The sequence below is a fragment of the Homo sapiens genome, chromosome X (assembly GCF_000001405.40).
Source record: "Homo sapiens chromosome X, GRCh38.p14 Primary Assembly".
Taxonomy (NCBI): domain Eukaryota; kingdom Metazoa; phylum Chordata; class Mammalia; order Primates; family Hominidae; genus Homo; species Homo sapiens.
In genome coordinates, this window is record NC_000023.11 from 46515391 (window position 1) to 46536475 (window position 21085).

Below are 21085 nucleotides of genomic sequence, written 5' to 3' on the forward strand. Positions count from 1 at the left end.
GAAAGACACAAATTATGAAAGCTCATTCAACAAGAAATAGATCATCTGAATAACCCAGTATCTATCAAACTTTTAAGGAAGAAAGAATACAATTCTACATAAACTCTTCCAAAGAATTGGAAAGAGGAGGGAATACTTCCCAGCTTGTTCTGTGATCTTATTATCTTGATTGTGGTGATGTGATCCTGGGTATATACATGTCAACACTTACCAAACTGTTTGCTTTATTTTTTATTTTTTGGAGACAGGGTCTTGCTCTATCACCCAGGCTAGAGTAGAACAATCATAGCTCACTGTAACCTCAAACTCCTAGGCTCAAGTGATCCTCCCACCTTAGCTTCCTGAGTAGCTACGACTACAGGCATGTGCCACCATGCCCAGCTAATGTTTTTTATTTTTGGTAGAGATGGGGTCTTGCTATGTTGCTTAGGCTGGTCTTGAACTTCTGGTCTCAAGCAATCCCCCCCACCTCAGCCTCCCCAAGTGCTAGAATTACAGGTGTTAGCCACTGTGCCCATCCCTGTTTAAGTACGTATAATTTCTTGTATGCCAAATTAAACCACAGTAAAGGGTTTAAAATAGCTAAATCAGTACTTAGAGATAGTTATGGCATTCACAATGCTTATATTAGAAAAGAAGGGTCTCAAATGATGACCTAAGCATCCACCTTATGAAACTAGAAAAAGAGCAAATTAAATTCAAACTAGCAGAAAGACAGAAATAAAAAAGATAAAAGCAAGAATGAATGAAATCGAGGTTTCCATTTCTAGCCACAATAGAGTAAGTCTACTACAGCCTCTCCTACTGATTATTGCAACAAAAATCTCTGAACAAAATACATAAAGTAACTACCCGAGGACTCTGACAAGTCAACAAAACCAGGAAGACTACGGAGGTGAGCCAAAAAGTAGAGAAGCAACTCATACATCAGTGGGTTCCCCTTTTATCCCTCATATTCTCTCTCAAGACTCTGACCCAAATACAGGTCCCAGTGACTTATGAACATACAGAAGTCCTGAGTTCATCCAGGAACTCTTCACTCAAGAGAAAGCAAAGCTACATACCAAGCCTTGAGAACTGAACTAAGATTTAAGCCACAGCTCAAGTCTGAGACTAACACCTGAGTGACAAATGTAAGCAGGGCAGTGAAGGCTTTGAACACTGCACAAAGACTGAACCCACCACTCGAGTCTCTAATCCCTAAATGGCACATGCACACGACAGATCAAAAGGCTTTGAAAACTGAACTGGTTGGAACTGACACCCATAGAAGGTGAGACAGACCTAGTGGTTTATTACCTGATAAAGATGAAAAGCAATAATGGACTGGGCGCGGTGGCTCTTGCCTGTAATCCCAGCACTTTGGGAGGCCAAGGCGGGTGGATCACTTGAGGTCAGGAGTTCAGGACCAACCTGGCCAACATGGCGAAACCCGTCTCTACTAAAAACACAAAAAATTAGCCGGGCATGGTGGCAGGCACCTGTAATCTTAGCTACTCGGGAGACTGAGGCAGGAGAATTGCTTGAACCTGGGAGGCAGAGGTTACAGATTGCAGTGAGCTGAGATTGTGCCACTGCACTCCAGCCTGGGCAACAGAGTGAAACTCTGTCTCAAAAAAAAAAAAAGAAAAAGAAAAAAGAAAAGCAATAACGACACAGTCCACCACTATCCAGGATGGAATCCAAAATTATTCAACATAAAAACCAATCACAAAGATGTGACCAATTCTCCAGGGAAAAAGACAATAACAGATGCCAATCCTGAAATAACCTAGGTGCTGGAAATATCAAAGACATTTAAGTAGTTATGACATCTAAGCTCCATGAGGTAATGGCAAACACCTGAAATGAATGGATAAATAGAAGTTCTCAACAGAGAAACAGAAACTGTAAAAATAAAAAAATTATAAAAATGATTGGAAAAAAAAACAGGGTCTCTGGGGACCTGCAGGACAATACCAAAAGGTCCAATGTTCATGTTATTAGAGTCCTCAAAGAAGGAGAAGAAGAGACTACTGTAGAAAAAAAATTGCAAAAAATAATAACCAAAAACTTCCCATATTTGGAAAAAGACATATATTTACAGACTCAAGAAGCACAGCACACCAGAATCAATATAAACTCAAAAGAAACACCAGAAACATTATAATCGAAAGCCTGGAAAGCCAACTTAAAACATTTCTAATGCAGCCAGAGGAAAAAAAGGTACACTGCCTACAAGGAAACAAGGATTCAAGGACTGCAAAATTCTCATCAGAAACAGTGGAGGTCAGAAAACAATGGAACATCTTAAAAATACTAAAGGAAAAGAAATATCAATCCATAATTCTACATCCAGCAAAAACACCCTTCAAGAATGAAGACAAGTGCTCACTGTCTAAAATTGGAACATATACTAAAATTGGAACAATACAGAGAAGATTAGCATGGCTCCTGTGTAAGGATGACGTGCAAATTTGTCAAGGGTTTCATTTTTTTTATAACACAAAGGATAAATGCTTGAGGGGATGGATACCCCATTCACTCTGATATGATTATTACACATCATATGCCTGTATCAAAATATCTGATGTACCCCATAAACATATATACCTACTATTTACCCATAAAAATAAAAATTAAAAAAAAAAGAAGACGAAATGTAAAAATTATCAGGTAAAGGAAAATTAAGAGATTTTTGTCAACAGCAGACTTCTTCTAAGAGAAATGCTGTAGGTTCTTCTTCAGGTGAAGGGAGATGATATCAGAGGGAAACATGGAACTTTGGGAATAAATGAGGAGCAACAGAAATGGCAAAATATATGGGTAAATGTAATGTATAATTTTTCTCCTTTTGAATTCTTTAAGATATATATGATAGTTGAAAGCAAAAAAATATAACACTGTCTGAGGGATTTAAAATGTTATTAGATGTAATATGTTCGAAAACTGTAACATGAAAGAAATTAAAGATATCTATACTGTTGTAAAGCTTCTACATATTACTTGAAGTATTAAACTATAAGTAGAATGTGAAAGGTTGTGTGTGACTATCTTAGTATCTACAGCAGCCACTGATTTTAAAAAATAACAACCAGGCATGACATCACACTTCTGTAGTCCAAGCTACTTGGGAGAGTGAGGCAAGAGGATTGCTTGTGCCCAGGAGCTCAAGATCAGCCTGGGCAACATAGTGAGACCCCATCTTAAAAAATAAATAAATAGGCCAGGCACGGTGGCTCATGCTTGTAATCCCAGCACTTTGAGAGGCTGAGGCGGGCGGATCACGAGGTCAGGAGATGGAGACCATCCTGGCTAACATGGTGAAACCCCGTCTCTACTAAAAATACAAAAAAAAAAAAAAAAATTAGCTGGGCATTGTGGTGGGTGGCTGTAGTCCCAGCTACTCGGGAGGCTGAGGCTGGAGAATGGTGTGAACCCGGAAGGCGGAGTTTGCAGTGAGCTGAGATCGCATCACGCCACTGCACTCCAGCCTGGGTGACAGAGCGAGACTCCGTCTCTAAATAAATAAATAAATAAATAAATAAATAGGGCAGGACACAGTGGTTCACGCCTGTAATCCCAGCACTTTGGGAGGCTGAGGTGGGTGGATCACCTGAGGTCAGAATTCAAGATCAGCCTGACCAATATGGTGAAACCTCGTGTATACTAAAAATACAAAACTTAGCTGGGCGTGGTGGTGTGTGCCTGTAGTCCCAGCTACTCGGGAGGCTGAGAAAGGAGAAACGCTTGAACCTAGGAGGCAGAGGTTGCAGTGAGCCAAGATTGCACCACTGCACTCCAGCCTGGGCAACAGAGCGAGACACCATCTCAGATAGATTAGATAGATAGATAGATAGATAGATAGATAGATAGATAGATAGATAGATAGATAAAGATAGATGATAGATAGATAGATAGATAGATAGATAGATAGATAGATAGATAGATAGATAGGCCAGGTGTGGTGGCTCATGCCTGGAATCCCAGCACTTTGGGAGGCTGAGGCGGGTGGATCACTTGAGGTCAGGAGTTCGAGACCAGCCTGGCCAACATGGTGAAACCCCGTCTCTACTAAAAATACAAAAATTAGCTGGGTATGGCAGTGTGCATGTGTAGTCCCAGCTACTTGGGAGGCTGGGGCAGGAGAATCGCTTGAACCAGGATGGTGGAGCTTGCAGTGAGCCAAGATTGTGCCACTGCACTCCAGCCTGGGCGACAGAGCGAGACTCGCTCTCAAAAAAAAAAAAAATAAATAAATAAAAATAAATACATACATACATAAAAATTTAATTTAAAAACAAGGAGACAGTGACAAACAGTAAAGAGGTATGTTTAAAATATAATATTTAAATTATAATTGCACTACTGGAAATTCATCCCAGGGAAATAAAAACTTATTACAAAAACCTACAGAGAAATGTTTGTAGCAAATTTATTCGTAATAGCCCAACACTGGATACAACCTAGATGTCCTTCAACAGGTGAACGGTTAAACAAACATGCATACCATGGAATGCTACTCAGCAATAAAAAGAATCAAGCTTGATACATACAACAACCTGAACGAATCTCTGGAGGATTATGCTGAGTGAAAAAGAACTAATCCCTTAAGGTTACATACAGTATGATTCCATTATATAACATTTTTCAAATGACAAAATTATAGAAACAGAGAACATATTAGTAGTTACCAGGCTATAAGAGGAGATGGGCTGGGAGAAAATCGGTATGACTATAAAAGAGTGACGGTCAGGTGTGGTGGCTCGCGCCTGTAATCCCAGCACTTTGGGAGGCCAAGTTGGGCAGATCACTTGAGGTCAGGAGTTCGAGACCAGCCTGGCCAACATGGTGAAACCCCATCTCTACTAAAATACAAAACTTAGCCAGGTGGTGGCGGGTGCCTGTAATCCCAGCTACTCGGGAGGCTGAGACAGGAGAATTGCTTGAACCCAGGAGGCAGAGGTTGCAGTGAGACCAGATCGCACCATTGCACTCCAGCCTGGGCCACAGAGCGAGAATCCATCTCAAAAATAAATAAATAAATAATAAAAAGAGTGACATGAGGGATCCTTGCAGTGACAGAAATGTTCCATATTTGATCTGTATAGATGTCAATATCCTGGTTGGGATACTGTACTACAGTTCTGCAAGATGTTACCTACCAATGGGGGGAATTGGATAAAGGGTACATTACGATCTCTTTGTATTACTTCTTACAAGTGCATGAGAATGTATAATGATCTCAAAACAAAAAGTTTAAGAAAATATTCAAATGTTCCAAAGAAGAGAGGAATGGGAAAATAGAATAACAACAATCAGCAAAAGGGGGACAAAGAAGAAAGAAATAATAAAATGGTAGACCTACATCCAACAATATCAATAATTACAAAAACACACCAATTAAAAGGCAGATTGTCAGTTGAGATTAAACACACAAGATTCAACTATATCATGTCTACAAGAAACGCAATTTAAATATAAAGAATCTGTGTTCAACAAGAGACACAAGAAAGACAGTGAAAAGACAATCTAGACTGGGCGCAGTGGCTCACGACTCTAATCCCAGCACTTTGGGAGGCCGAGGTGGGTGTATTGCCTGAGCTCAGGAGTTTGAGACCAGCCTGGGAAACATGGTGAAATCCCATCTCTACTAAAATACAAAAAATTAGCTGGGCATGGTGGTGCATGCCTCTAATCCCAGCTACTTGGGAGACTGAGGCGGAAGAATCGCTTGAGCCCGGGAGGTGGAGGTTGCTCAGGAGGTGGAGGTTGCAGTGAGCCAAGATCACACCACTGCACTCCAGCCTGGGTGACAAAGCAAGACTCTATCTCAAAAAAAAAAAAAAAAAAAGACAATCTAACAAAGGGACAGTATGCTTGCAATAAAGCATTGATTAATATGTACTCTACCGAAAATAGTGCCACTAGGCATGGTGTCTCATGCCTGTAATCCTAACACTTTGGGAGACTGAGGCAGGTGGATCGCTTGAGCCCAGGAGTTTGAGACCAGTCTAGGCAACACGGCAAAACCCCATCTCTACAAAAAAATACAAATATTAGCTAGGTGTGGTGGTGCATGCCTGTAGTACCAGCTACTCAGGATGCTGATGAGGAAGTAGGATCACCTGAGCCCAAGGAGGTTGAGGCTGCAGTGAGCCATGATTTCCTGGGCAACAAAGTGAGACACTGTCTCGAAAAAAAGAAAGAAAATAGTACTATGGGCCGGGCGCAGTGGTTCACACCTGTCATCCCAGTACTTTGGGAGGCCAAGGCGGGGGAGGGGGGGGAGGTGGATCACCTGAGGCCAGGAGTTCAAGACCAGCCTGGCTGACATGGCAAAACCCCATCTCTACTAAAAATACAAAAATTAGCCGGGTATGGTGGCACATGCCTGCAATCCCAGCTACTCGGGAGGCTGAGGCAGGAGAATTGCTTCAACCCAGGAGGCAGAGGCTGCAGTGAGCTGAGATCTCCCCACTGCACTCTACCCTGGGCGACAGAGCAAGACTCTGTCTCAAAAAAAAAGAAAAGAATAGAATAGAATAGAAAAGAAAAGAAAAGAGTGCTATGAATAAGTAGGAGGAAGGCACATACCATAAGAAATAAATGAGTTGAAGACTTACGCAGGCACCGTGTAAGATTTACACAAGTCACTCAAGTTCTCTATAAAATATGAAATGAGGATCAATTACATTACTAATCAAGGAAATGAAAGTTTCAATCACAATAAGATACTAATACACACCTACCAGAATGGGAACAAATAAAAGTCTGACAAGCAGAAGTGGCACGGAGGGAGCATCTACAAATGTTTTACAAACCAACAACATTTGGCCTTATCTATAAATTATTCACACCTCCAGAACCCAGACACCACAACCTAGGTATATACATAGGAAAGCTCTCACAGCAAATGTTCCTAGCAAACATGTAAAATAATGGCAGTATTATCATTAACTATACTAGCCTTAAACCGGAAACAACCCAAACACCATCAAGAGAGTAAATACTGGCTGAGTGCAGTGGCTAATACCTGTAATCCCACACTTTAGGAGGCCAAGACAGGAGGACTGCTTGAGGCCAAGAGTTCAAAACCAGCCTAGGTGACATAACGAGACCCCATCTCTATATGAAAAACAAGAATAGCTGAGCACAGTGGCACATGCCTATAGTACTGTCTACTCAGGAGGCTGAGGCAGGAGGATTGCTTAAGCCCAGGAGTTCAAGCCTGCAATGAGCTATGATCACACCACTGCACTCCAGCCTAGGTAGCAGAGTGAGACCCTGTCTCTAAAAAATAAATAAATAACTTAAAAGAGAGAAGAGTAGGTACTTTTAATTGTGTGATACCCAAACTAGAACACTATCCTGCAATGAAAATAAACATCATGGCTGAATCTCACAACTATAGTAGTGAATAAAAGAAATAAGTCACAAAATAATTCATATGGATGATTCTGTTTTTACAAAGCTCAAAAAAGAAAAGTTCAAACTAAACAATATATTGCCTGTGTATACAAATATAGATAGCAGAAGCTCTAACAAAAATCTTAAAAATAATTACCCCCGAATTTGGGATACAGGTTACATCCAGGAGAGAGGTAGGAGGATGCCATCTGGAAGGGGTAGAGTCGTAGTTCTCAACCTGAGTGGTGATTATCCAGGTGTTAGCTATATATTTCTTCTGAAAAGTACGCACGTGTTCTAAATGCTCTTCTGTATGCAAGATATAGTAATCAATAAGGATTTCTTTCTATCTCAAAGAAATAGAAAATGAAAAACACAAAAATAAACACAATCAAAAGCTGGTTCTGTGAAAAGATCAATACAATGGATAAATCTTAAGTCAGACTGATCAAGAAAAAACATACATTATCAATATCAGGAGAACAACATTACAGATCCTACAAATATTAAAAAATAATAAGGAAATCTTATGAAAAAAACTTTATTTTATTTTATTTCTTTATTTTTTTGAGATGAAGTCTCACTCTGTTGCCCAAGCTAGAGTGCAGTGGCACGATCTTGGCTCACTGCAACCTCCGCCTCCCGGTTTCAAGCGATTCTCCTGCCTCAGCCTCCCGAGTAGCCGGTACTACAGGCACGTGTCACCATGCCCGGCTAATTTTTGTATTTTTAGTAGAGACAGGGTTTCACTATGTTGGCCAGGCTGGTCTTGAACTCCTGACCTCGAGATCCGTCTGCCTAGGCCTCCCAAAGTGCTGGGATTACAGGCGTGAGCCACCCCACCTGGCCAAAAAAAACTTTATATCAAAAACTTGGTAGTTTAGATGAGACAAATTCCTTCCAGGCCACAAACCACCAAAGCTTGCTCAAGAAGAAAAGAGTTATCTGAATATACCTATAATTATAAAAAAACAAATTTGTAGCCGGGTGCAGTGGCTCACACCTGTAATCCTAGCACTTTGAGAAGCCGAGGCTGGTAGATCACCTGACATCAGGAGTCTGAGACCACCCTGGCCAACATGGTGAAACCCTGTGTCTACTAAAAACACAAAAATTAGCTGGGCATGGTGGCGTTTGCCTGTATTCCCAGTTACTCAGGAGGCTGAAGCAAGAGAATTGCTCGAACCAAGAGGTAGAGGTTGTGGTGAGCCGAGATCGTGCCATTGCACTCCAGCCTGGGCGACAAGAGCAAAACTCCATCTCAAAAAAAAAAAAAAAGAATTTGTAGTTCAAAACTTACCCTCCAAGAAAACTCTAGGCCCAGATGTTTTCACTGATGAAGTCTACAGAACATTTAAGAAATAATGCTAGTCCTATATAAATTTCAGAAAACAGAAGAGGAGGAAACACTTCCCAACTCATTTTATGAGGCCAGCATAACCCTGACGTCAAAACCAGACACAAACAGTGTAAGTGAAGAAAACTACAAATGATTATGACACATAGCATAGATGCAAAATAACAAAATATGAGCAAAAATAAATAGGAGCATATCAAAGGAATGATAGGTCATTATCAAGAGGGGTTTACACAGGTAATGAAAGGCTGGTTCAGTATCTGCAAATTGGCTAGGCATGGTGGCTCACACCTGTAACCCCAGCACTTTGTGAGGCCAAAGCGGGTGGATCACCTGAGGTCAGGGGAGTTCGAGACCAGCCTGACCAACACGAAGAAACCCCGTCTCTATATATATACACACAAAAAAAATTAGCCAGGCATGGTGGCAGGTGCCTGTAATCCCAGGGATGCTGAGGTGGGAGAAACGCTTGAACTTGGGAGGTGGAGGTTGCAGTGAGCTGAGATCGTGCCACTGCACTCCAGCCTGGGCAACAGAGATTCCGTCTCGAAAAGAAAAAAAGAAAAAAAAAAAAAAGAAAAATCTGCAAATTGACTAGGCATGGTAGCTCACACCTGTAATCCCAGCACTTTGGGAGGCTGAGATGGAGGATCACTTGAGGCCAGGAGTTCAAGACCAGTCTGGGCAACACAACAAGACCTCATCTTTACAAAAAATTTAAAAAATAGCTGGGCATGGTGGTACATGCCTGTAGTCCCAGCTACTCTGGAGGCTAAGGCAGGAAGATCACTTCAGCACAGGCGTTCGAGGCTGCAATGAGCTATGACCATACCACTGCACTCCAGCCTTGGGAACAGAACGAGACTCCATCTCTAAATATAATAATAATTAATTAATTTAAAAATAAAGGAGAAGAAGTATGATCATATTCATTGATGCAGAAAAAGCATTTGCAACATTCAGCATCAATTCATGATAAAAATTCAAAAAACTAAGATTAAAAGGAATAATCCTCAAGCATTGTCAGCCCACCAATGGAAAACTCTACAAATAAAAAATTATACTTAATGATGAGAAAGTGAGTACTTTTGCCCTAAAATCAGGAATAAAGCAAAGAAGTCATTCTCACTATGCCTATTCAACACAATACTAAAGATCCTAGCCAGTAAAAAATGGCAAAAAGAGGCCGGGCATGGTGGCTCATACCTGTAATCCCAGCACTTTGGGAGGCCGAGGCAGGCAGATCACCTGAGGCTGGGAGTTCGAGACCAGCCTGATGAACATGGAGAAACCCCATCTCTACTAAAAATACAAAAAAAAAAAAAAAAATTAGCTGGGCATGGTGGTGCATGCCTGTAATCCCAGCTACTTGGGAGGCTGAGGCAGAAGAATCGCTTGAACCCAGGAGGCGGAGGTTGTGGTAAGCCAAGATCATACCATTGCACTCCAGCCTGGGCAACAAAAGCGAAACTCCTTCTCAAAAAAAAAAAAGAGGGCAAAAAAAGAAGTAAAGGACATCCAGATTGGAAGGGAAGAAATAAAACTGTCTTTATTTACAACTACATGATTGTTTACATAGGAAATGTCAAGCTATCTACAAAAAAGTTACAAGCTATCTACAAAAAAGTTACAAGTTTTAATATGTACACTTAGAAAGGTCCCAGGGTACAAGATCAATATACAAAAATCAATGGCATTTCTATAAGATAGTACTGGCCAATGGGAAATTGAAATTAAACAAAATACCACTTATAGTATCTTATAAGAACAAAAAAAGCTGGTATTAATTAAACAAAATGTGAAAGACTTATGCATTCAAAACTACAAAACATTGAGATAAAATTTAAGAAGATCTAAATAGAGATACATGCTATTCATTAATTGGAAGACTCAATATTGTCAGTATATCAATGATCCACAGATTCAGTGTAATCCCATACAAAAATCCCTGCGGGCTTTTGTGTACAAATTCACAAGCTGATTCTAAGATTTATATAAAAATACCAAGGACCTAGAATAGGCAAAACATTAGGAAAGGAAGAACAAAGTTGGAAAACTCATACTTCCTGATTTGAACACTTAATGTTAGGCTACAGTAATTAAACAGTGTATTAATGATGTATAGACAGACACATCTCTGTTCAACTGTTTGGTTTTTTTTGAGACAGGGTCTTGCTATACCCCAGGCTGGAGTGGCAGTGGCGTGATCACGGCTCACTGCAGCCTCGTCCTCTCGTGCTCAAGCAATCCTCCCACCTCAACCTCCCAAGTAGTGGGGAGTACAAGTGCATGCCATCATGGTTGGCAAATTTTTTAAATATTTTATACACGGGGGCTCACTATGTTGCCTAGGCTAGTCTCAAGCTCCTAGGCTCAACTGATCCTCCCACCTCAGCCTCCCAAAGTGCTTGGATTACAAGTCTGAGTCACTGTGCCCGGCCATTCAAAGGTTATCAGCAACGATGGCAAAGTAAGTCAACAACAACAACAACAACGAAGAGTATTTTCAAAACTGCTGCTGGAAAAATTGGATATACATATGCAAAAAGCCCCCTGACCCTCACCTCATGTCAGATTTACAAACTTAACTCATTCTTTGTCATAGGTCTAAATTTAAGAGCTAAAATTATAAATCTTCTGAAAGAAGGCATAGGAGAAAAATCTCCATTGCTCTGAGTCAGAGATTTGTTAGATAGGATACAAAAGGCATGAACCATAAAAGAACTTGATAAACTCAGCCTTATCAAAATTAAAAACGTCTACTCTACAAAGCACAGTTAAGAAAAAAAGAAGCCATAATCTGGGAGTACATACTTAAAGGACTTGCATCAAGAATATATAAAGAACCTGCTGGGCACAGTGGCTCACACCTGTAATCCCAGCCCTCCAGGAGGCCAAGGCAGGTGAATCACCTGAGGTCAGTTCGAGACCAGCCTGGCCAACATGGCAAAACCTCGTCTCTACTAAAAATACAAAAATTAGCTGGGCATGGTGGCGGGTGCCTGTAATCCCAGCTACTCGGGAGGCTGAGGCAGGAGACTTGCTTGAACCCAGGAGGCGAGGTTGCAGTGAGCTGAGATTGCACCACTGCACTCCAGCCTGGGCAACAGAGCAAGACTCCATCTCAAAAAAAAAAAAAAGATATATAAAGAACCTTACAATTTAATAGCAAAGAAAAATGGCAAAAGATTACAACAAATACTTCCACAAAGAAGATATAAAGATAGCAAATAAGGGCTCAACAATATTCATCATTAGAAAAATGCAAAATTAAATCACAATGAGATCCCCCTACACACCTACTAGAAAAAAGGACTAACACTAACAATACCAAGTGCTGGCAAGGATGTGAAACACGTGGAACTCACATACATTGCTAGCGGAAAAAAAAAGTGGTATAGCCATGTTGGAAAACAGTTTAGCAGTGTTTTATAAAGTATTCCAACCTGGGAATAATGTTCTCTCAAGTTTATTTTTGAATAAATAAAGAGATAATATAAAAAACAAGAGTTGAGTGGGAGGAAGGTACTGAAAACAGGAGGAATCTGAAAACAGGTGGCATCAAGTCAGATTTGTAAGAGTCTGGGAAGGAATACAAAGAGAAAATAGAAAACAGTGTGAGGTTTACAGTGTTTACCACAAAATAAGAGCAGGCAAGAACATGGTGGGTACCAGGCTGGGTAGAGTAAAGGTCACCAGCAAAGCTTTGTTGCCTATACCAACTCCAAAAAATAATGTATGATAATTTCCTTGAGTCTAAAAAAAAAAAAAAGACTCCAACTTTCAGCCTGAAAGGGCCCACAGTATGCCCAATAAAGAGGAAATGCTGACATTTGCATCTAGTCTGGTAAAAATACATAAGCACAAGAAGGGAGAAAAAGTTCTAAAAGCTTCCAGAAAGGACAGGGTGAGAGGAATGAGAAGGGGCTTGGCACTTCTCACTAACAAGCCAGGAGGCTGGAAGGTAGAAATGGGATCTCAGAACAAGAGTGGCCACAATCTATGTGAATGCCAAGCAAAGAACACAGAGCCTGTAACCGGCGGCCAGGCAGAAGCCTCATTTGGACATGACAACAGTTCTGCTCATCAGAGCCTAGGCATGTCCACAAGTCCGAGGCTCTGAGAAGAGCTCCTGAGCACATCCCAGAGGCCAAGCTCTCACCAACCAACCTGGTCCCTTTTCCCTGGCCTGACTCACCTGGCCTGTCCTCACCTGCACAGGTCCGTACCGGGGTCCCTCCATCTGCCATCCAGGACTCGTCACCTGGTCCCAACCTGAAGATCACATCTGGCTTCCCAACTAGATGCCCTGTTTAGGGGACATGACATAGGACTTTGTTATTAATGCTGAGGAATTCCAGAACCTAGGCCCACCCCTGCAGGCTGAAGGTGGCACGGCCTCGGTGATGGCCCCATGCACACAGCTATCTGCCCCTCAGTACAGAACATTCACATAGCAAGCAAGGGCACCAATATGCTCTCCAGTGTCCAAAGGAGACTACAAATACTACACAGTGGGCAGTAACCCAAACTCACTGAGGGTGGTAACCCACACTCATTGTTCCTAGGCCCCAGAGCTTGGAGCAGCTGAGAAAGAAACACAGTACTGGAGGCATTCTGCATCACCCTGTGGCGCGGTCCCTCACCCACGGACACCAGGTGGCTGTAGTTCTCAAGCATGACATCCCTGTAGAGGTTCTTCTGGGCAGAGTCCAGTTGCTGCCACTCCTCCAGGGTGAAGTCCACAAACACGTCCTTGAAGGTCAATGATTCCTGTAACGGCACATTCCTCTTTAGCACCCCAGGACCAGCCTGGGGCACTGGGACATGGCACCTCACACACACGGAGGGCTTACTCTGTGCCCTTTGAGGTCCTTTACATGTACTAAAGATTTCAGTCTTCGCCGCCACCCTAGAAGGAACTTGACAGATGAAGAGTGTGAGGCACACAGAGCCTAAATAACCAGTCCAGGTCACACAGCCAGGAATGAGGGATTCGAATCCACGCAGTCTGGCTCCCGCATCCACGCTGGCCTTTCTTTATATAACTGTTCTTATGCCAGTCACTAGTCAGTTTGGCATAGCATATTACATAGAGTATATGACTAAAATCATTTTGAACTTTATAGGAGAAAGAGATAGAGTATGAGAAATATCTTACCCTGGAAATTCATTCATTCAACACATGTTTACTGAATAGAGGCCAGGCTGGTAAGTCCTGTGACATAAAGATTGATACAAAATGACACCTTGGCCGGGCGTGATGGCTCACGCCTGTAATCCCAGCACTTTGGGAGGCCTAGGCGGGCGGATCACAAGGTCAGGAGTTCAAGACCAGCCTGGCCAATATGGTAAAACCGCATCTCTACTAAAAATACAAAAAATAGCTGGGCATGGTGGCGGGCACCTGTAATCCCAGCTACTCGGGAGGCTGGCGTAGGAGAATCGTTTGAACCCAGGAGGCGGAGGATGCAGTGAGCCAAGATCACGCCATTGCACTCCAGCCTGGGCAACAGGGCGAGACTCCATCTCAAAAAAAAAAAAAAAAAGACACCTCTTAAACTCAAGGAGCTTCAGTTTAGTGGAGGGAGAAAAGCGACACTTAGACACTCATAGAAGAAACAGAGGCAGCGAGGAAGCCTGCCTCACAGGGACAGTGACAGATGTAGGACGGGGTCCGGGTTGTCCACAAAGGAAGAAGTCAATTCTGCTTAGCGCTGACAGAGCAGGCCTTGCAGGGGACACAGAGCTACAACAAACAGTTCTAAACATAGCTAATCAATCATGACAAACCGTTCTAACCTTCACTCATCAATCATGAAACAAAGAACAGGAAGCCAGAGGTTTGTGGCCTGGGCAGCTGACTGAAGCAAAAGGGGAAAGGTCTGTGCTTGGCCTTGTCACCACCAAACAAGAACTCACTTCTACAAGTGCCCCCAATTCCTTGCAAAGACTAATAACCCGCCTGTTTCTGCTCCAGATCCTATCCTGTAACGCCCACACTTGGTGGCCTTCAATTCAAGCCACTCGCTGCACCCATAAGGCCCAAATCAGCCACAGTGGCACCAGTTTACCCAGCTGTGCAGGAGAGGGGCAGGAAAGCCAGTGTGCCAGAGGGCGGGGACAGGCAGGTTTCTCCAGCAGGAGGGCTTCTCAGAGCAATCCAGGAGCTGTTAGCCCAATCTGCCCCTCCCTCGTGATAGCTCCGGTGCTGGGGAACAAAACCACACTGCGGAGTGCTAGGATGATGTTGCTTGGAAGCCCTAACCTGTTCCATAGACCAGTATCTCTTGTAATGGTCCCAGTGGCATGGCTTCGAGGATCCCAGCAAAAGATGGGCCCAGTTACATATCACTGAGTGACAATGTGCTCAGAAAACCCCAATCCATGGCTTCCTACCAGCCAGTCATAGTTTACTCAGTCCTCCAGTCCAGATGCAGTTTGTTTAACCAATCCAGAGTCAATTTTATCTGGAGTAATGTCACCTGGTTTGATATTGTGAAATATATATTTGGTTTTTGTCCTGTCTCCTGGCAAGAAGCTCCTGCAACCCTTGGAATAGCCTCTGAAGTGATCAAAGTGTCTTTTATATGCTAATGAGATGACTGTTAGCTGGCTGCCCCTAGGTAGCTTCTGGATGGAAGCTGGTCACCAGAAAACCAGACAGGATTAGAAGGTTGGGAATTTCATCTCCATCCTCAAAACTCCTGGGAGGGGAGAGGAGATGAAGGTTGAGTTGATCACCAAGGGCCAATGATGATCATGCCTCTGTGATGAAGCCTCCGAAAAACCCCACTGTGGCTGGGTGTGGTGGCTGGCTCCTGTGATCCCAGCACTAAGGGTGGCTGAGAAGGGAGGATCACTTGAGGCCAGGAGGTTGGGCCTGCAGTGAGCCAAGACTGCACCACTGTTCTCCAGCCTGGGGGACAGAGCAAGACCTTGTTTCTCAAAAACAACAACAAGGACAACAACCAAAGGGCTGGGTGGGTTCAGACAGCTTCCACACAGCTGAACACTTGGTGGTTCCCGGATGGTAGTGAGTCCAGAGAGGGCATGAAAGGTCTGTGGACCTTCCCACATCCCTTGCCCTATGCATCTCTTCCATCTGGCGGTTCATCTGTATCTTCTGTAATATCCTTTATAACAAATAGGGGAAATTCAGTTTCCGTTAGTTCTGTGACTCACTCTAGCAAATTAATCAAACACCAGGAGGGAGTCAAGGGAACCCCTGATTTGTGTCCCATCAATCAGATGTATAGATGATACCCTACTCGAGACTGGCATCTCAGGTGGGGGTAGTCTTGTGGGACTAAGCCTCAACCTGTGGGAGCTGACGCTAACTCCAGGTAGATGGTGTCAGAATGGAATTGACTTAGAGGAGACCCAGCTGGTGTCCACTGGAGAATGACTTGGTATTTGGGTAAACAGCCTGGGGCCTGGGATTACATCTCGTGTCAGGAGTGTTGTGTCAAGTGAGAGTAGACAGTAGGAAAAACTTGGGTTTCCTTCCTTATCTCTCAGACCCAGTAAAACAGCCATCATTCCACTGTCACGTTTCTAGTCACACACAGCTAAATATGACAATGATGATGAAAGTTAATAACCACTAACAGATCCTCTGAGTAGAGTGTCAGAGGTTACTTCATAAAAATGATACTGCCTGTGCACATGTACCCTAGAACTTAAAGTATAATAAAAAATAATAAAATAAAATAAAATAAATTAAAAAAAATAAAACATATGTATGTGGCCAGGCGCGGTGGCTCACGCCTGTGATCCCAGCACTTTGGGAAGCCGAGGCAGGCGAATCACGAGGTCAGGAGTTCGAGACCAGCCTGGCCAACATGATGAAACTCCGTCTTTACTAAAAATACAAAAATTAGCCAGGCGTGGTGGCGGGCGCCTGTAATCCCAGCTACTCAGGCGGCTGAGGCAGGGGAATCGCTTGAAACCAGAAGGTGGAGGTTGCAGTGATGAGCCGAGATCACGCCACTGCACTCCAGCCTGGGCAACAAGAGCAAAACTCCGTCTCAAAAAAACAAAAAACAAAACAAAACAAAGTATGTATGTGACTCTCTTAACAACTAAACCTCCTCTATTAGGAATCTTACTACTGTGTTACTTCATCTCAAATCTTTTAATAGTCTCCTGGTGACTTTGAGAAGTATCATGCAGAAAACCTCTGCATTTTCACTCCACTTTGAAACTGGTCATGTCTTGGGAACTGACTCATTCTACTAATCATATAGCAAAGAGAAAAAACATAGTTCTTAGTTTAAAACATGAGCAATTCATTGTGTCACATATCTTTGTGTTTTGGTAAATTCATCATTAGAGAGAGAGAAAAAACATCAATGGAGTTTAAACCCTTTGTCTCGTTAAGTCGCAAAAAAAATTATTGGACTAAATAAACCACGCAGTGTCAAGTTCAAAAAAGAATGATACTGCCTTCACAAAAATTGTAAGAGTGAGAAAATTATGACATTGAAAGAGATCTGATCTAACCAACCCCTATCTTGCCTTTAACCTCCAAATTACCCTTAATCATTCCTCGGCCTGGCCCAAGAAAACTTTGAGAGACATTTGTTTTATAGTTTAAAAGATAATAGACCACAGGTGTCCAATCTTTTGGCTTTCCTGGGCCATATTGGAAGAATTGTCTTGGGCCACATATAAAATACACCAACACTAAAGATAGCCGATGAGCTAAAAAATAAAAATCACAAAAAAAGTCACAATAAGTCTCATAATGTTTTAAGAAAGTTTACAAATTTGTATTGGGCCGCATTCAAAGCCATCCTGGGCCGCATGTGGCTCATGGGCTGTGGGTTGGACAAGCTTATAATAGCCTTCTGCAAAACTCAACCACCTTTGTAAAGCTGAGAGGCCACAAGGTTAGGAGGATATGAGGAGGCTAAAATCTGCTAACATGTAGACATAAAAGATTTCCAGCTATTATTCCGGAGGTCACAAGATTTGGAACTCCCCAATTACTCCCGCAGATAATATCACCATTATAGAACCTAAGATTGGCCTTTTGAGGCATTTTTTCAAGTTTTTGCATTTCTGACGACCAGTGGCTCCACCAGGACTGGCCAACCTCCACCAACCGGTCCTATGGCCCCACCCAGAAGCTGAATCCATGGCCTACCAAACTATCCTTGAAAAACCCTACCCTCCAAATTTTCGGAGATTGATTTGAGTAATAACTCCATCTCCCATGTGGCATGGCCAGACTTACATCAATTAAACTCTTTATTGCAATGCCGTGGTCTCAGTGAATTGGTTTTGACTGTGCAGTGGGTGGGAATAACCCACTGGCTGGTTACAGCAAAAATAAATCAGCCAGACACGGTGGCTCACACCTGAAATCCCAGCACTTTGGGAGTCCGAGGCGAGTGGATCACTTGAGGTCAGGAGTTCGAGACCAGCCTGGCCAACATGGAGAAACCCTGTCTCTACTAAAAATACAAAAATTAGCCAGGTGTGGTGGTGCACGCCTATAATCCCAGCTACTCGGGAGGCTGAGGCAGGAGAATCACCTATAATCCCAGCTACTCAGGAGGCTGAGGCAGGAGAATCGCTTGTACCCGGGAGGTGGAGGTTGCAGTGAGCCGAGATCATGCCACTGCACTCCAGTCCTCCAGCCTGGGTGATAGAGTGAGACCCTGTCTCAAAAAAAAAAAAAAAAAAATATATATATATATATATATATATACACACACACACACATAAAATCTATGCAGAAAAGATGACATTAGGAAAATCTGGTGGATTAGTCCGTTCTCATGCTGTTGATAAAGACATACCTGAGACTGGCTGATTTATAAAGGAAAGAGGTTTAATTGACTCAGTTCAGCATGGCTGGGGAGGCCTCAGAAAATTTACACTCATGGCGGAAGGTGAAGGGGAAGCAAGACACCTTCTTTACAAGGTGGCAGGAAGGAGATGTGCAAGCAGGGGAAATGCCAGAAGCTTATAAAACCATCAGCTCTCATGAGACTCACTTATTATCATGAGAACAGCATGGGGGAAACCGCCCCCATGACCCATTACCTTCACCTGGTCCCGCCCTTGACACGTGGGGATTACAATTCAAGATGAGATTTTGGGTGGGGACACAGCCAAACCATATCTTCTGGCTAGGTATTTATGGAGGAAAATAACTCAATAAAACTGAATTACCCATCTCACTCTGAACCCTCAAATAAATTACACAGGGATGAGACAGGTCTCCCTCTGTCATCCAGGCCGGAGTGCAGTGGTGAGATTATGGCTCACTGCAGCCTCAACCTCCCGGGCTCAAGCGATCCTCCTGAACTCAAGTGATCCTCCTGCCTCAGCCCCGCAAAGTATCTGGGACTCCAGGCACACGCCACCTCACCCAGCTAATTTTTGTATTTTTTGTAGAAACGAGGTTTCACCATATTGCCAGGCTGGTCTCGAACTTCTGAGCTCAAATGATCCACCCGTGTCAGCTTCCCAAATTGCTGGAATTACTGGTGTGAGCCACCGCACCCAGCCTTAGAGATTTAAATGTGTACAAGATAACCATAAAATAGATCAAAGTTTTTATAATTTTACAGTGGCTAAAAGCCTTTCTTTTCTGTGTTTTTTTTTTCAAGACATAGTCTCACTCTGTTGCCCAGGCTGGAGTGCAGTGTTGTGATCTCAGCTCACTGCAACCTCTGCCTCCTGGGTTCGAGTGATTTTCCTGCCTCAGCCTCCCAAGTAGCTGGGACTACAGGCACCCGCCACCATACCCAACTAATTTTTGTATTTTTAGTAGAGACGGTGTTTCACCATGTTGGCCAGGCTGGTCTCGAACTCCTAACCTCAAGTGATCCACCAACCTCAACCTCCCAAAGTGCTGGGATTACAGGTGTGAGCCACCGCTTCCAGCCGGCTAAAAGCCTTTCTAAGCAATCCCCAAATTCAGAAGACATACAGTCACAGACTGATCAACATGACTGCCTAGACATTAGAAATTTCTAAATAGCAGAATGAATTTTTTTTCTTTTTTTTTGGAGACAGGGTTTTGCTGTTGTTGCCCAGGCTGGAATGCAGTGGCATGCTCACAGATCACTGCAGCCTCGACCTCCTGGGCTCAAGCGATCCTCCCACCTCAGCTTCCCTCGTAGCTGGAACTATAGGCACGCACCACCACGTCCAGCTAATTTTTGTATTTTTTGTAGAGACAAGGTTTTGCCATGTTGCCCAGGCTAGTCTCAAATTCCCGAGCTTAAGCAATTCTCCTGCCTCAGCCTTCCAAGTGCTGGGGTTACAGGCATGAGCCACAGCACTTGGCCAAAAATTATATTATGAAACATCAATATCAAAGTGAGAAAAGTATTAGAAATATACAAAACAATGGGCTAATTTCCTTTATACACTAAAATTCTAACAAATCATTATGAAAAAGACCACAACCTAACATATAACTGAATGAATATAAAATAAATATATAACTTACCATGTATCCCTTTCATAGTCTTAAAAACTAAAAAGGTTAATAATACTTAGTACAGTCAAGTATGTAGAAAAAACACCAAAGAAGTTATAAACTATTTACAGCATTTTTGGGAGGAATAATTGGTTAATATATATCAAATTTTACATTGCAAATACCGTTTAACAAAGCAATGACCTTTCTAGGATTTTACCCTATACCTTTAACACATCAGTAAGAAGAGACAGCCCAACAGTATGAATAAAATGCTCATAGCAACAGAAATGTTAGAGGCCTAGAAACACAAAAAGATTATAAGCCTCACTAAAAGTCACATATATGCTCATTAAATAATAAGATATTGTCTTTTATCCATAAGAGTCACTGCTGATGAAGAGTATTAGAAATTAAATACTCTCATATAAAGGCTGATTGATACATAATTTGGTTATACCTATTAAAGGTATTTGTTTCTTACTTTAACCAGCAGTTGCATTTACAGGACTCTATTCTAGTGAAATATTTATGTGTACATAAGGATGTCCAAGGCAGTCCTATTCGTATTAACAAAAAGTAGAAGAAAGCTCTAAAAGGTCTGGCACAGTGGCTCACACCTGTAATCTCAGCACTTTGGGAGGCCAAGGCAGGTGGATCGCTTGAGCTCAGGAGTTTGAAACCAGCCTGGGCAACATGGTGAAACCCCATCTCTACAAAAATAAAAAAGGGCTAGGCGCAGTGGCTCACTCCTATAATCCCAGCACTTTGGGAGGCTGAGGCAGGCGGATCACGAGGTCAAGAGATCGAGACCATCCTGGCCAACATGGTGAAACCCTGTCTCTACTAAGAATACAAAAATTAGCTGGGCATGGTGGCACGCACCTGTAGTCCCA

At 42.7% G+C, this 21085-nt stretch overlaps 1 protein-coding gene, 1 non-coding gene and 1 pseudogene across 5 annotated transcripts in view; 2 read left to right on the forward strand and 1 right to left on the reverse strand.

Moving 5' to 3' along the window:
• The window catches only part of ZNF674 (zinc finger protein 674), a 47697-nt gene that overhangs the window by 17666 nt on the left and 8946 nt on the right, over positions 1-21085 (reverse strand). For 2 of the 4 annotated variants that reach the window (NM_001146291.2, NM_001190417.2), the window contains exons 4-5: positions 13393-13519; positions 12960-13055 (exon numbers count right to left, since the gene is read on the reverse strand). In NM_001146291.2, coding sequence (NP_001139763.1) covers positions 12960-13055; positions 13393-13519 — 223 coding nt within the window. Of the gene's footprint in view, positions 1-12944; positions 13056-13392; positions 13520-21085 lie in introns of all 4 variants that reach the window. The other 2 variants (XM_011543943.4, NM_001039891.3) reach the window with 1 other exon arrangement.
• RNU6-50P (RNA, U6 small nuclear 50, pseudogene) lies at positions 2133-2610 on the forward strand (annotated as a pseudogene).
• On the forward strand, positions 2376-2478 carry LOC124900488 (U6 spliceosomal RNA). The gene has a single exon (XR_007068419.1). It is a non-coding gene; the product is annotated as a U6 spliceosomal RNA (small nuclear RNA).